At 46.1% G+C, this 15,798-nt stretch overlaps 1 long non-coding RNA gene across 1 annotated transcript, besides 3 other annotated features; it reads right to left on the reverse strand.

The window, feature by feature from the left end:
* Positions 1–904: 904 nt before the first annotated feature.
* MICB-DT (MICB divergent transcript) lies at positions 905–15,781 on the reverse strand. The gene is made up of 2 exons (NR_149132.1): positions 15,241–15,781; positions 905–2,345 (listed from the first exon to the last, which is right to left on the reverse strand). It is a non-coding gene; the product is annotated as an MICB divergent transcript (long non-coding RNA).
* Positions 8,514–9,224: an enhancer, noted in NCBI's record as "H3K27ac-H3K4me1 hESC enhancer chr6:31455304-31456014 (GRCh37/hg19 assembly coordinates)". NCBI's record gives its function as "activates a minimal SCP1, AML or CMV promoter by ChIP-STARR-seq in naive H9 embryonic stem cells {active_cell/tissue: H9 hESC(naive)}" and the evidence as "EXISTENCE:reporter gene assay evidence [ECO:0000049][PMID:30033119]".
* Positions 9,225–9,934: an enhancer, noted in NCBI's record as "H3K27ac-H3K4me1 hESC enhancer chr6:31456015-31456724 (GRCh37/hg19 assembly coordinates)". NCBI's record gives its function as "activates a minimal SCP1, AML or CMV promoter by ChIP-STARR-seq in primed H9 embryonic stem cells {active_cell/tissue: H9 hESC(primed)}" and the evidence as "EXISTENCE:reporter gene assay evidence [ECO:0000049][PMID:30033119]".
* Positions 14,602–15,483: an enhancer, noted in NCBI's record as "NANOG-H3K27ac-H3K4me1 hESC enhancer chr6:31461392-31462273 (GRCh37/hg19 assembly coordinates)". NCBI's record gives its function as "activates a minimal SCP1, AML or CMV promoter by ChIP-STARR-seq in naive H9 embryonic stem cells {active_cell/tissue: H9 hESC(naive)}" and the evidence as "EXISTENCE:reporter gene assay evidence [ECO:0000049][PMID:30033119]".

The following is a 15,798-nucleotide window of genomic DNA, read 5'->3' on the forward strand; positions in this document are numbered from 1 at the left end:
TATATGAGAATCAGATTCCTAGGGCCCTGGGTACCTCATCTTGCTGTTTAAAGTCCTCATGGAGGATCAGTGGAGTGCAGAGCCCAGAAATCATCCTGAAGGCTGAAGCTCCCTGGTGAAAAGGACCCTCTCCTGCACCCTGGGGCTCAGAGGGAACAACAAAGCTCCCTCCCAGGGTCTCCAGCCTCTGGCCTATACTGTCAGCCTGCACTTTCTTGGCCTTCCTGGCTGCTAATATTCCAGTTCCCAGCAGCCTCCTCTCTCACCCTTCACCTCTTCTGACTGGGTGCGAATGGTAACTAGACCAGGCAGTGCCCTCCTTGTCAGTCTGCCTGTCTGCCTGGTTCCCTCTCAGAGTTTGTGTCTTCACTCGGTTCATCATCCCCAGCCCCAGCAGGAACAGGGAGAAGTGACTTGGCAAATGCCCCACTCAAAATGGGATCCCTCAACCAGAGACCACTTGTGAAAGTCAGTTTTCCCTGACTAAAGAAACAGGACATTTACCCTGTTAGAAGTTGATGTCTGCCAGAGACCTCCACCTGGGAAATGCTGGTTCATGGCAGGGTCTCTCTTTTAGTAAAGGGAAAAATTCCTGGCTAATTGATAGCTAATAAGTCATTTAGAATCCAGTTCATGTAAAAGGATTACCTACTTAAAGGATTAACTCCATTATAATAAGGACACACATCCCACACCGCACATCCAATGTCATTTGTGAGATTGCTTTGATTCGCTCATGTAGAATGTTACTCTGCTGCTTTGCAGAGAGGCTTGCCACACATTTCAAATCTCTGCTCCTCATTTCACACCATCTGGCTCATGAGGTGAAGGTGATGAGAAGTGTCTTCAGACAATACTCCGAGGTTTGTCTATCAGAGTCATAGTCATATATTACATATAGAGATTATTTTCTTAGAAGTTGTAATTTATTGATATGTATTTTACTCATGGCATAGATAGATACTATCCAACAATTCGTTTTTATTACCTCTACATTACACTGCTTAGGTAGCCACTACTGGTACCTCTGCATTTTCTTTCTTGTATGTGACATTAACGTATAAGATTGTATGTACATGGTGGCTTGGTTTCCAGGAATTGCTGATTAGGTAATTTAGACCATTCCTTCCACTGAGTACAATGGGAAAAGGAGGAAAACATACATATTTGAAAAATCTGGTTGAGCAAATGGATGGGCTAACAAAGCAGTGAAGATTTGCCTGGCCAGGAACCAGGAGAGGGGAGAAATCCAGAAGAGCAACTTGAGCTGTGGGGCTGCTTTTGTGGATCAGAGGCAGTAACACCTGCTCCCTGGCCAGAAGCCAACTTCCAGGATTCAGGACTCAGAATTCAGAACTTAGACAGTCCCTTGGTCTCTCTAGAATTCAGTGCTCATTTAGACCGGGCTAAGACCCTCACACTCAATGGCTGGAGGATCCAAGCTTATGGCATGACTGCCTCTGGAGCATTTCATGCTAGAGAGATCCCAACAGGTGTAGGTAAATGGTCTAGAGGGTACTAGCCAGGCTTCCATGGAACTCTGTGTAAGGCACTTCCCTGTGTTGTTACTCATGTTGGCCATGTCCTCGGGAATTTAGTGGAACGGCCATGTCGTCTTGAGTGGAAGTGAGGACGGTGAGGGGGTCCCTGGGCAGTCAGAGATTTTGTGTCCCTGCGTCCTTTCCTTCCATCTCAACCAGAGACCACTTGTGAAAGCCCAAGAACAAATGTCATTAAATGTCCGAGGCGAATCCAAGACCACCGATCCATTGCGCCCAGGAGCCTTGGGCCATGTAGCCCAGCAGTAGTGAGGTCTGTGAGGCCTTGGTCACCCCCAAAGTGTTGCCCCAAGAGGAGCTGCCGCTCGTTGCCATCAGGCACCTCAGGAGCTGGACATGGTATTCATTATAATTTCTGATGAGGAACTAGAGAGGTCTCATAGCATATAGACCTTGATCAAATTGGGTCATGGTGGAGTCAGGCAAAACTCTGCAATGACTCACAGGTACCTAAGTATAAAACAAAGTCTCAACTCAGAGCATCCATCAGAGCTTCAGGCTCAGTAGTCATTCCTTTATGCTGTTGCTGTGTTTGTACTGTGATAACTGGTGCTTGAAGGGAGGACATATAGTTACATGTTGCGGGAAAACACATGTCATTAGAAAACTTGGCATGATTTAGGGACCATTGCCTTTTCCATGGTAGATGTGGGACTCTCTGTCATCTTCACCTTGTTGTTCCAAGTGCAGAAGAGAAAGCTTCTTCCTGCTTTCAGCTGCGTGACTGACAAGGGAAGCTGGAATTCAGAGAATCAGTGGCAGCCTCTGTCTCTCCAGGCCCCAACCCTGCAGGTTTAAGGAATGGACTTAGGTCTCTGGCACTTTGTTCTCAACACACATTTTCCTTCACTCATTCAGAAAAAAAAAAATAATAATAGAAAATGAACCAAAGGCTGCAATTCTCATGGCACCTAGAGAACTGGAGTACGGACCAAGGTTGCCACATGCCTGTCATTGCTCCACCACACTCGGTTGCCATGTGACCTCGGGAGAAGCTCTCTACCACTAGGGACTTTTAAACTCATCTGTGAATCCTGGATAAACACAGACATTCCGGTAACCTTACTGAAATGAAGTGAGGACCAATGAGTTGACAGGTGGAGAAAAATTTTTTTTTTTTTTTTTTTTGAGACGGAGTCTTGCTCTGTCACCCAGGCTGGAGTGCAGTGGAGCGATTTCGGCTCACTGAAAGCTCCACCTCCTGGGTTCATGCCATTCTCCTGCCTCAGCCTACCGAGTAGCTGGGACTACAGGCGCTCACCACCACACTCGGCTAATTTTTTGTATTTTTAGTGGAGACGGGGTTTCACCATGTTAGCCAGGATGGTCTCGATCTCCTGACCTCGTGATCCGCCCGCCTTGGCCTCCCAAAGTGCTGGGATTACAAGCGTGAGCCTCCGCGCCCGGCCGCAGAAACAGAAAAATTTAAGTGATGGCCTTTACTCCTAGACAGGGCTTTTTTAGGAACATGCACCTTAAAAGTAGGAGGAAAACATAATGCCAGCAACACCCTGCCTAAAAGCCCCTTTAGTGATGATAATTATCATTCATCTTTCTATAAAAGTACAGCAAGACTTTCTACCTCAATATCTCAAATCAGTTAAATATATCTTCTGATCATATACCAGTGTGGACCCACATGTTTTGCTCCAAGTGAAAATGAAAAGGAATGAGAACATCTCCACCTTTGTGTGGTGACCATGGGACCACGGAGGCTTGGAAGCCAGCCTACATCTGCCCAAACTCTACATCACCTGCCATTGTCAATTTTCAATCTATCCGTTCTATGCTTTGGAATCCTACATAATTCATACTCTTGAAAAATCTCATTTTCATATGTAGGGCAGGGTAGAAAAGGTGATATCTCTGTTTTAATTTGCTAAGACTTCCATAATAAAGTGGCACAGACTGGGTAAGTTAAACAGTAGAAATGTATTATCTCCCAGTTCTGGAGGCTACAGGTCCACGATGGAATGTATTGCAGGGCTGATTGCTCCTGAGGCCTGTCTCTGGCTTACAGATGGCCATCTTCTCCCTCTATCTTGTCAACATTGGCCTCAAAATATGTGTACAGGGACACAGTTTAGCCCATAAGAGTCTGCGCCATCCTTGGCGGTGCATATTATAAGAAATAAAAGAGAATACAACCCTTTGGCTGGACTCTGTTGATATTTTGAAATGTTGGTCTTGCAATAAGAACACCACCAAAGGCCAGGCGCAGTGGCTCACGCCTGTAATCCCAGCACTTTAGGAGGCCGAGGCGGGCGGATCACGAGGTCAGGAGATCGAGACTACCCTGGCTAACACGGTGAAACCCCTTCTCTACTAAAAATACAAAAAGAAAAATTAGCCGGGCGTGGTGGTGGATGCCTGTAGTCCCAGCTGCTCGGGAGGCTGAGGCGGGAGAATGGTGTGAACCCAGGAGGCAGAGCTTGCAGTGAGCCAAGATCTCGCCACTGCACTCCAGCCTGGGCGACAGACCAAGACTCCATCTCAAAAAAAAAAAAAAAAAAAGAACACTACCAAAACAAGGGAGCCGAAGTTTAGTTTTCCCTGGAAGGTGAGCACTCCCTGAGCCTGGCCGCCCCAGGGCAGCAAGACCCAGTGCTATGTAGTTCTCCAAAGTCCTATTTACTTTAGTGATTCTGATTCTGTATTTTTAACTGGGAAAAGGATTCTCTTTCAGGAAAGCAACCACTTCTGATGCTATTTAGGTATTATTCTCCTTATACTTATAGGAGAAAAAATTGATGTTAATGAACAGGAAATATTTGCCAAATTATCACACAAATAATTTTTGTATCATTTTAAAATACTCCTTATTGTACTGAGCTTGTTGGTATTTTAATAAAAATTATTGGCATATAATATTTATACATACTTTGGGGTACACATAATATTTTCATGCATGTGTAGAATGTGAAATGATCGAGTCAGGATATTTAGGATACTCATCACCTCAAGCATTTATCAGTTATTTGTGTTGGGTGAATTTCAAATCCACTCTTATAGCTATTGTGAAATACACAATACATTGTTGTTAACTACAGCCAGCCTGCTGTGCTATCGAATATTAGAATTTATTCCTCCTATTTAACTGTATCTTTGTACCCATTAAGCTACCTCATTTTATCTCCCAGATCCCCCACACACCCTTCCCAGCTTCTGGTAACTATTATTCTACTCTCCACCTCCATAAGATCAACTTTTTTTCAGTTCTCACATGTGAGTGAGAACATGTGATATTTGTCTTTCTTTGCCTGGTCTATTTCACTTAACATACTGACCTCCAGTTCCATCCATGTTGCTGCTAGTTATTATGAGGTAGTTCTAGCTGGAAGAATAGAGAATTAAAAGAAATCTTTGTGAAGCCCCTACCCAGGTTTGTCAATTTGTAACATTTTAATATTATTGGCTATATGTAGTATACATAGAAAATAATAGAAATATATGCAGATAGCCCTGATTCTCCACAGTTCTGTTATGTATGTGTTTCCGCTGAAACACATACAGTACAGTACTCTATGTACTGTACAGTACTACTGTACTGAGTACTGGACTGCCAGTGGGGAGTGGCGGATGTCTTGAATTTGGTGAATGCCTTTATATTGCTACAAAGTGTTTTTTTTTTTTGGTTGTTTGTTTTGAGACGGAGTCTCGCTCTGTCGTCCAGGCTGGAGTGCAGTGGCGGGATCTCGGCTCACTGCAAGCTCCGCCTCCCGGGTTCACGCCATTCTCCTGCCTCAGCCTCCCAAGTAGCTGGGACTACAGGAGCCCACCACCACGACCGGCTAATTTTTTTGTATTTTTAGTACAGACGGGGTTTCACTGTGTTAGCCAGGGTGGTCTCGGTCTCCTGACCTTGTGATCCGCCCGCCTCAGCCTCCCAATGTGCTGGCGTGAGCCACCGCGCCCGGCCTACAAAGTTTTTTAAATCCTTTCGTTTGACATGATTTTAGACTTTGTAAAAATTGTTTTTTGTTGAATGTATCATTCTGTGGCTTGCTTTATCGTTTAATATGGTCTATGAGGTGAACCCACACACCCATAGAAACAGTTCATTTGTTTTCAGTGCTGGATAGCATTTATGAGACGAATATCCCACAATTTATCTCTTCTCCTGTCCGCGACCTTTAGCTTGTTTCTGTTACAGACACTGCCACAATGAACATCCTGGGTCATCTCTCTCTGGTCCCCTGTGTGAGTTCCCCAAGATACGGATGTAGGAATGGGATTACTGTGCTTTTACCATGTGATGTTATAGGATGTCAAATTGTTCTCTGAAGAGGTTGTATCAACTCCCCCCTTTAAAATCTTCTTTGACATTTTACAGGTCAAGTTATCTTCCTCCCCAACTAGCTGCTCAGCCTCAGTCCCCCTTCATTGGCTCCTTTTGCTGTAGATGCTGGAGCACTGTGGGGTTTTACTGCCTCCCAATCACTCTAGTGTCCTCCACTCCCAGGATTTTAAATATCGTCTAGACACAGATGGCTCCCAAATGTATATCTCTACATATTTCTATAATCAAAAAACTAATGGTACCAAAACAGGTACTCTGATATATTGCAGATGGGCCTGCAAACTGGAAATGTTTTCAGGAAAGGCAGTATGGCAATTTCTGTCTAAATTAAAAATGCATACACCCAGTAGTCCCACTTCTAGAAATGTGTCCAAAAATAGACCTGCATTCCTGAAAAATGACTGTATTCAGAATTATATGATGCAACCCTGTTTGTAAAATCAAAAAGGAAAGAAGAAAGAAAATGAAAGATAAAAGAAAAAATAATCCAAATGTCTGTCACTAGCGGACTAGTTAAAAAAGCATTGCAAGCTGGGCACAGTAGCATTCACCTGTGAATACACTCTACTCCACTCTGGGTAACATGAGGAGGCCTCCCTACCTTCCTAAGAAAACCCAAACAAGCACTGCATATCTACACGGCTGAGTCTACAAACATTTAACACAAAAGAAGAAAGACATAGGAAACTCTTGATATTCCCTCATGGGATGGTCTCCATGATACATTGTTAAGAAGAAATAAAGCAAGGTGTAGAATAACATATAGAGTCTGCTAAAATTTGTGTGAAAAGGGACAAAGAGATATATATACACATTTATATTTGCTTGCATATGCATAAAATATATTTGGAAGAATAAGCAAGAAGATATCCCTGGTTGCCTGTTGGGGATGAGACAAGGTAAGAAAGAGACATTTTACCTTTTGAATATTTTGAATTTTGAATTTTGAACTATATCAAGAAATAAAAGATAATTCCTAGGGCAACCAAACAAACCCCAAAAAAATTCAAAATGAAAAACCTTTTAAAAACTAATAGAATTTTTTTACCTTTATTAAAATAAATTTTAAAAATTTTCTAAATATTATATTATTCCTTTAACAAGGAGGTTTACTGCCATTTTAATTCAGTACGTTGTTTTCTTTTTAATCGCATGATCTTTCTTTACATCTATCTTTTTTCCATTACAAGGTAAAATAACAGCATGATTAATTAAATGCAATTTGTTTGGTGAAGGAAATTTTGTTCAAATCTTGGTCTAAGTGGGAAAGGGATTCTAGGGGATCCAGTGCAGCAGTTATGGGTTTCAGTATGCTCACGACGCCCTCCAGTGTTTGTGTGGGCTCATGGATGCCATATCTAGAAAACACTGGAATTCTCAAGCACACGTGACTGAAGCCATTTGCCAAATGTTCAAGGTCCTATTAATGGCCCATCTGAGTACTTGTCATACGCGGTCACCCTATCTTTGGATCAGAAGGTACACTCAGAGCTCCTAGTGTCACATCCCAGGCCCAACCTGCTGAGATTAGTCGAGGAAGGTCTGGAGGTCAGTGTCGTGAGGGGTGGGAAGACTGAGGGTGTGGGGGCCAGTTGTGGAGTGGCGGGAGCCCCAGGTGCTGTATGAAGCCGAGCCTCTGGATCACCCTGTGACCCCACATTTGGTCCCTTCCTGGGTGTCTTCCATTCCCAGGACTCCCAGGAAATAAAATGCTGCAAGATTGGGGTGGGGAGCTGTCCAGGGTAGGTCAGGTGTGTTCTCACTGATCCCACACCTCTGCCTCCCAGCCCACTCCCAGCCCTCTTCTGATATTAGAAACCAACACAGATTGCCTTAGGGTGGTGGTTCTCAAAGTGTGGTCCTGGGGGAAGCAGCATTGGCATCACCTGGGAACTTAGATATGCAATCTTCAGGGCCTGGCCTGGACCTACTGTATCAGAAACTCTGCATTTAACAAGCCCCCAGCAGAATTCTGCTTTTCAAATCAGATCTCTCTCTCTCTCTCTCTCTCTCTCTCTCTGTTTCAAGTCTCAATATTGAGTAGCTGTGACTTCTGGATAGTCAGGTGTCAGACACCCTTTCTTGCCAGGAGGCACCAGGCTCCTCAATCAGCTTAGTCTCATTCTTGGCCTGGCCCAGGGAAAGATGTTCACTTCCTGGATTCTGAGCAAAGCTCTCCTATCCTGGGTGCCTGTGGGGCTCCCACTTACACCACAAAACAAAGCTCAAATAATATTTTTTTCTTTTATGAGATTTTTGGTATTCCTTCATTAGTCAGAGCTGAAGATCTACATATATGTCTACCAAGCAAGTGTGCATGTCCCACTAGCCAGTTTGTTAGTCTTGCCAATGCACCACAACGTAGCAGCCTCTCAGTCTCTCCTTGTGAGGTGTTACCTGGAGTTCTTTGTCTCACCACCAAGAGAATTAAGGAGCGTGGATACAAAGGGTGAGGTTGGAGCAAAAGTTTAATAAGCAAAAGAAGAAAGCTCTCCCCTGCAGAGAGGGGACTTGGAAGATGGTTGCCATTTTTACAGCTGAATGCAAAGGCTTTTACAAGAAACTGATGAGGGCTGGGTGTCTCATTTGCATAAGGCACGAATTTCCGGTAGCTCCACCCCATCCTCCTAGTGCCCATGCAGGCCCTTAGCTTGAGTTACTCCATATTGCTTTGTTTCCCTGACTGCCCACGTATCGGGGGACAGAATTTTCCATTGCGGGCATGTCTGGGCAAGTCTCCTGTGCAGCCTTTCTTATTTGTGCAGCTGTGGGCATGTCTTAGGCAAGCCCCCCTGTGCAAGTTCCCTTCTCTGTGCCTGCAGGCCGTTCTTTTGTTTGAAATAATTCAACTGAGGACCCACCATAACTGCCCGCCTGACCAGTTTCTTCCTTTTTTCTCTCTCAATTTGTGTTATGATTTCCTTACTGATCTCTGCCTGAGCAAGACTGGGCACGCCTTGAGGGCAAGGAGGGTTTATTTGCTCTTACCTCAGTTCCAGCTCCTCTTAAAACAATGCCCCACGCACAGTAGGTATTTGATAAATGTTTACCAAATGAAGGGATTGCCTGGAATGGCTTGGCAGACAGGAAAGCAGAATGAAAACCCACAGGCCAAAAATGGCTGGGAAAAGATTTTCCAAATCCTAGTGCTGGGCACAGGGCCCACTGAAATTCACTTTCGGAAACTTCCCATCTGTCTCGTTCTCCTCTCATCAGGATAGAGCCCACCTAGTCACACACTACCTTTCAGGACCACCTTCCAGATCAGCCAGGTACAAATCCCACAGACTTCCTGCCTGTGGCTCCAAATGCTCAGCTGAAATTCTGAGGCTAATTTCAGTGGAGTTAGAGGCTTATCCCTTAGGAGTGGCAATGGCTGGCTTTAAGATTCGAGAAGTAGTGTTTACATCTCAAAAGAGAAGACCGCTCCACCAGAAATGCAGAGTTTTTGTATGTGCGGGTCCGGGGTCTTCAGGAGATAAAGAATGATAGCTCCAGGAGCGCTGGGACCCCCGTGCAGCCACCAGTCACCACAGCCTAGGCAGGGGTTGGGCTCTCACCTCGGCCCCTCCTCTGCACGTCCTGGATGTGGATGGTCCCCGAGTGTGAACTAGCCTGGGCTCTGACCCTGGGTGCTCTTCCCGCCGTTGTGGAGCCTCTGCGGGTGTGGTGCATGCACAGGGGGCTTCACAGGAGACCCGGGGCCCTTTAGAGTCTCAAGGCCAACATTCTTGGAGAATCCATGTCAAGCATTCAGGCTCTCAGGGACTCAGATGCCCAAACTATGAAAATGAGGGAATCTATCCCACTCTCTCAGGTGTGGTGAGATTCCTATTATATGACTATCGGTCATCTATACATGGATTGTACTCTCAGAGTTGCCTTTATCAGTCGGCCAATGCCTAAAACCCAAAGATAGGTCAGGCATGGTGGAGGACGAGTTCCTTTCTTACCTTCTGAAGGTGCCATCAACAGGAATTTCTACCCTGTGGAGTCTAGAGGAGACTTTCCTTGAAGCTGAGTTGGGAATGGACATTTGGACTTTTTTTTTTAAGAGTTAGTAACTCCGTGGAGAACCACACATTTATTTGCTTACTTTAATTCTACAGCAACATTCGAGGTGGCTTACTGCAACAAACCCAGTGTAATAAATACATACGAATTACTTTAAAATAACACCAAGGAAAATATACATTTTAAAAGATTAAGGCTGGGGTAAAGCTGGAACATTACTAGGCGGGAAGGAACATCTGAAACATTTGCTGAAATGGAGTTGACCCTTTACCTGGCCATAGATTTGTTGCCTCACGATTTCATTACATCTGAGCACCAGGGAGGGGGGTGGCAGTTCAGGTCACCAGTCCCTTGTTTCCTGCTTCAGGAACAGTGTCCTGTTCTACACTTACAGTCAAAGCAAATTACATCGTTGTAAGATGTTTAATGATGAAGTCAAAGTCCACAGAGTCAGCAAGTAAGTGTAAAAACCTCAGGAGTCCAAGGACAGTCTACGTTTCTCCCCAGAAATGGCCTCACTATGCACTGTTGAAGGGAGAGGGTCCTTTCAAGGGGCCCCAAGATGCAGGAGCAATTGGGCTGCAGCTCTAAATAAAGATGTCCTTTCTACCTGCAGATTCCACAAAACCTCACAGGCAAATTTGGTGATCTCACCTGAGCTAGGAATTCGGTTTTTTGATGTTGGTTCTCTTTGAGCCATTGTGTGAGCTTTAAAATGTGATGTGGAGATTTTGCTATACTGGTATTTCCTTGCTGGAATTTGACATCCACAGTGGCTCTGGCTTCCCTGTCTGGTCCCAGGAGGAAATGGAGTGTCCTGCACTTTTTTTCAGCATCGCTTTGTGTAAGAAGGATCAGGAGACCTGGAGTCAGGGGCTCCTCCAATCTCACTCTCCTTCATAAAACAGTGTCCCTTAAGCTTTCTGGGGGTGAGGGCCTTAACACCGTGCTGTTCTGATGAATATAATTGTCCCAGCTCCCGAAACAAAAGCACAGGTGCACAAAATACCGACTGTTGCAAGCAATGCCAAGGTGGGGATGTTTCCTAGGTGCCAGGTTTAGCACTTTGACTTTGTATATACACACACAGGGGCCAGGCGTTGTGGTTTATGCCCGTAATCTCAGCACTTTGGGAGGCTGAGGCATGAGAATTGCTTGAAGCCAGAAGTTCAAGACCAGCATGGGTAACAAAGCAAGACCCAGTCTCTACCAAAAAAAAAAAGAAAAGAAAAGAAAAGAAAAAAATACACACACACACACACACACACACACACATACTGGGTGTGGTGGCTCCAGTCTGTAGTCCCAGCTACTCGAGAAGCTGAGGTGGGAGGATTGCCTGAATCCAGGAGTTGGAGCCTGCAATGAGCTGTGATCGGGACACTGCTCTAGCTTGACCATCAGAGTGAGACCCTGTCTCAAAAACAAACAAACAAAACAAAACAAAATACATACACACACACAGCCAGAGCCAGCACTGAGGGAGAGGCTGGCCTCAGGGGTGGGGTCACAGGCATTTCTCAGGTCCCTCTCAGTGGTCTTTGTCTCTTTTTCCTGGAGGTGGAGGAGTCTGTACTTCATGAGGAGAAGTCCTCTGAAGAAGGCGGGAGATACTCAGGAGCGGGGTCCGGAGAGGGAAAAGGATGAGGAAGTGGAGACAAAGTGGAGGGGGCAGGGCAAGAAGGGCACATGTGAGGAATGGGGAGGGGGAGGACCTTCCAGCTGTCAGAAAGGTCCCACGCAGAATTTGGCTCTTGGTTTTTCTGCTTTATCAGGATGGATTTGGGAAACCAGCCGGAGCGGGAGATAAGGAGTCTACTTTGCAAAGGACACGTGTGAGTCTCGTCCTAATTTGAACTCATGAGTAGCAGCTGACAGCCAGGACCCTTGCGTGGGGCGCGTGACGCCCCTTTGCAACCAGGGCGTTTTCTGCACCCCACCAGCCATCCCTCCTGGGACCACGCTGGTCCTCTCCAACCCTAACAGGGAGAGAAGGAAGGAGAGGTCTGGAGGCTTTGGGTCCTCCCTCGTGCTCCTTCTTCCTCTGCCATTTATTCCCTGAGTGTCCTTGACTTTCCTCCGCTACCCGGACCCCACTACAGCAAAGCACATCCTGCACACTGGCCTGGACTCCCTTTGTAACCACCCAGTGTGTTCACCTTGCTGACTGCCTAGACAAAGCCGATTTATCAAGGCAGGGGAATTACAATAGAGAAAGAGTAATTCATGCAGAGCCGGCCGTGCGGGAGACCAGAGTTTTATTACTCAAATCAGTCTCCCCGAAAACTCTGATCAGTTTTTAAGGATAATTTGGTGGATGGGGGGGGCCAGTGAATCAGGAGTGCTGATTGGTTGGCTCCGGTATGAAATCATAGTGAGTGGAGGCTGTTCTCTTAGGCTGAGTCAGTTCCTGAGTGGGGGGCCACAGGACTGGTTGGCAGGTCCAGATGGGGTCCTCCAGTTGTTAGAAATGCAAAAACCTGGCCTGGCGTGGTGGCTCACGCCTGTAATCCCAGCACTTTGGGAGCCCGAGGCGGGCGGATCACGAGGTCAGGAGATCGAGACCATCCTTGCTAACACGGTGAAACCCGGTCTCTACTAAAAATACAAAAAATTAGCCGGGTGTGGTGGCGGGAGCCTGTAGTCCCAGCTACTCAGTAGGCTGAGGAAGGAGAATGGCGTGAACCCGGGAGGCGGAGCTTGCAGTGAACCGAGATCGCGCCACTGCACTCCAGCCTGGGCGACAGAGCGAGACTCCGTCAAAAAAAAAAAAAAAAAAAAAAGCAAGAAAAGAAAGAAAGAAAAAGAAAAAAGAAATGCAAAATACATCTCAAAAGGCCGCTCTGAGGTTCACAATAGTGATGTTACCTTCAAGAGTAACTGGGGAAGTTGCAAATCTTATGACCTCCGGAATAATGGCTGGTAATATTCAGAATTCCAGCCCCTCTCATCCTAACTTAATGGCTGGCGGCCTTTCATTCGTTTTAAAAGAACACTTTCCCTTTAAACTATAAATTCCTTCCCAAGGCTAGTTCGGCCTATGCCCAGAAATGAACAAGGGCAGGTTAGCGGTTAGAAGCAAGATAGGGTGAGTTAGGTTTGATATCTTTCACTGTCATCATTTCCTTACTTATAATTTTGCAAAGGCGGTTTCACCTTGGCTTCAGCCCCACCCATGCAGTAACACTGTGCCCTGTCCTTCCAACCACTGCCACTAGGTGAAAGCAGAGAGAGCATCGCCCAGATGGGCTAGATTCTTCTCACAGGCTCACTGCTAGAACGAACATTCTTGAGACTTTAGATCTAAGCCAGCCTGATTTCTGAAAGCCTTGGACCGTTTCCAAAATCAAATCAATACTCCAGGAACAAGATCTGCCTCGACTTTGTCTCCATCCAAGGACGCTATGGCAACGCAGTTTTCAAACGTGCTTTGAGAATAAATGGAACAGGGTCCCCTGTGTCCCCACTCATTTGCGTTTTCCTTTTTATTACAGCCAACCCCTTTTGTAAATATTGTTACACATCTCTCTATTCCACTGAAAACATCTCTTTCAAAGGCACTTTAAGAAAGATTCAATGACATGAAAATATGAAGGATCCTCTTGAAAGAGTTTCTGGTGGTGGGTTTTAAAGAACATTTTGGTTTTTAAAACTCTGTAACCATTTTGGTGTGGGGCTTAGCTTCGTATTTTCAAATTGAAATATTCTCTTCCTTAACGTCCGCATAAATCCAAGTTCACAATTTTTATTATTTTAAAATTTTATTTATTTTTGTTTTGGGGACAGGTTCTCCTCCTGTCACCCAGGCTGGATTGCAATGGCACAATCATAGCTCACTGCAGCCTGGAACTCCCCGGCTCAAGCGATCCTCCTGCCTCCAATTCCCAAAGAGCTGAGATTATAGGCATGAACCACTGCAACTCACCCAAATCCAAGTTTATACTAAAAGATAAAATTCCAACATTTCAGAGAAAATGAAAGTCACAAAGTTATCCCAGTCTCTGAAGTCACTGTCAAAACTTTGGTGAGGAATCTTCCAGGTTTTCCCCTACTTAAAATATATATTAATATTATGTAAGTAATATTAGCGGCATTTTCACCCAGGCTGGAGTGCAGTGGCACGATCTCAGCTCACTGCAACCTCCACCTCCCGGGTTCAAGCAATCCTCCTGCCTCAGCCTCCCGAGTAGCTGGGACTACAGGCGCCGGCCACCATGCCTGGCTAATTTTTGTATTTTCAGTGGAGACAGGGTTTCACCATATTGACCAGGCTGATCTCCAACTCCTGACCTCAGGTGATCTGCCCACCTTGGCCTTCCAAAGTTCTGGGATTACAGGCGTGAGCCACTGGGCCCAGCCTCCTTAACCTTTTAAAAAAGGTTAAAAGTATGCTGGGCACTTCTTTTCATAGCAATACTTAAAAGCAATCTTACTCTTTTTAATGACTGTATAGAATTTTATAATATAACTCTTCTTTGGGAGACAATTGAAATGTTCTTTATCTTCACTGTGGTAGTGGAGATGTGGGTGTGTACAACAGCTAAAATTCAACAAGTTGAACACTTTAAATAGATGCAGTTTATTGCATGCAAAGTATGTCCCAATATGATGATTTAAAAATATTATCGTCTTTGAGATTTGTACTTTGCTTATGTGAAACAAAACAAAACAAAAACCCTGTTCTTGTGCCCAGGAGACACACCCTGACACATCTGGAGGTAGAGGGTCATGCTGTCTGCAACTTACCCTCACAGGCTCTGAAATAACAATAATAGCAGTATATTTACAGATTCAGAAAGAGAGAAAGCTATAGTAAAAATGTTCATAAGTAAAACTAGATAAAGGGCAAAAATAAATAATAAAACTACGTCTTTTAAATTTTATCTCTCCTTTATTTTTTCTCTCCCCTTTTCTTCCTATCTCTTCCCTCCTTTCTTAACACGTCCCCCTATCCTTCCCTCCTTTCACCACTCTCTGCACTTGATCCCCGGTGTATTCCAGCCTCCAGGCCAACACACTTCACCGCGTCCGCCTGGGGCAGGTCAGAAAAGGGACGCGAGGCGGCGCTGTCACAGCATTCTATGCGCCCCAGCGCCCTGGGCCGCGCTGGTCTTGTATCATTTCAGTGGTCCCTCCCGTCTTTGACGGGGCCAAACTCGGGGTGTAAATTAGGATCCTCACTGAAGCGGCGGGACCCTGAGAGGCTTTTTCCTGGCCCCTTAGTTGTGGGTTTTCCTGCGGGCGGTGGAGCCCGTTTCCATCAGAACCGCCCAGAGGCGGGCGCTGCCTTCCAGGGGTGAAGTGTTTTCGGACCCCGGAATCTGTGGGCGGCCTGCGGGAGGGGCTGAGGCGCAGTTCCCTACTCACCCAGGTCCGAATCCACCGCGGTGCTGTTTCCAGCGAGTCAGATTCCAGATCGCGCTCCAGCCTGGACTCGGAATTCCTGCCCCGCGGGTCTGCATTTTCACAGCGGCAGGTGTGAGTGCCGCGCAGCTGGAGACCAGAAGCCTGAGGCAGCTCGGCCCTCCCCAGCCCAAAGTGCCGTTATTCCGTTTCTGTATCAGTAAACACGTTTCATTTTCCGTAGACCAGGGAAGGGTGATGGGTGATCCCAGTCCTCGCAGTGAATTCCGGGCCACAAAATTCAAAACGCTTGCGGGCAAAGCCGTGCGCGGTGGCTCAAGCCTGTAATTCCAGCACTTTGGGAGGCCGAGGCGGGCGGATCACCTGAGGTCGGGATTTCCAGACCAGCCTGACCAACATAGAGAAACCCCGCCTCTACTAAAAATACAAAATTAGCCGGGGGTGGCGCATGCCTGTAATCCCAGCTAGTCGGGAGGCTGAGGCAGGAGACTCACTTGAACCCGGGAGGCGGAGGTTGCTGTGAGCCGAGATCGCGCCACTGCACTCCAGCCTGGGCAACAA

The sequence above is a fragment of the Homo sapiens genome, chromosome 6, assembly GCF_000001405.40.
Source record: "Homo sapiens chromosome 6, GRCh38.p14 Primary Assembly".
Taxonomy (NCBI): domain Eukaryota; kingdom Metazoa; phylum Chordata; class Mammalia; order Primates; family Hominidae; genus Homo; species Homo sapiens.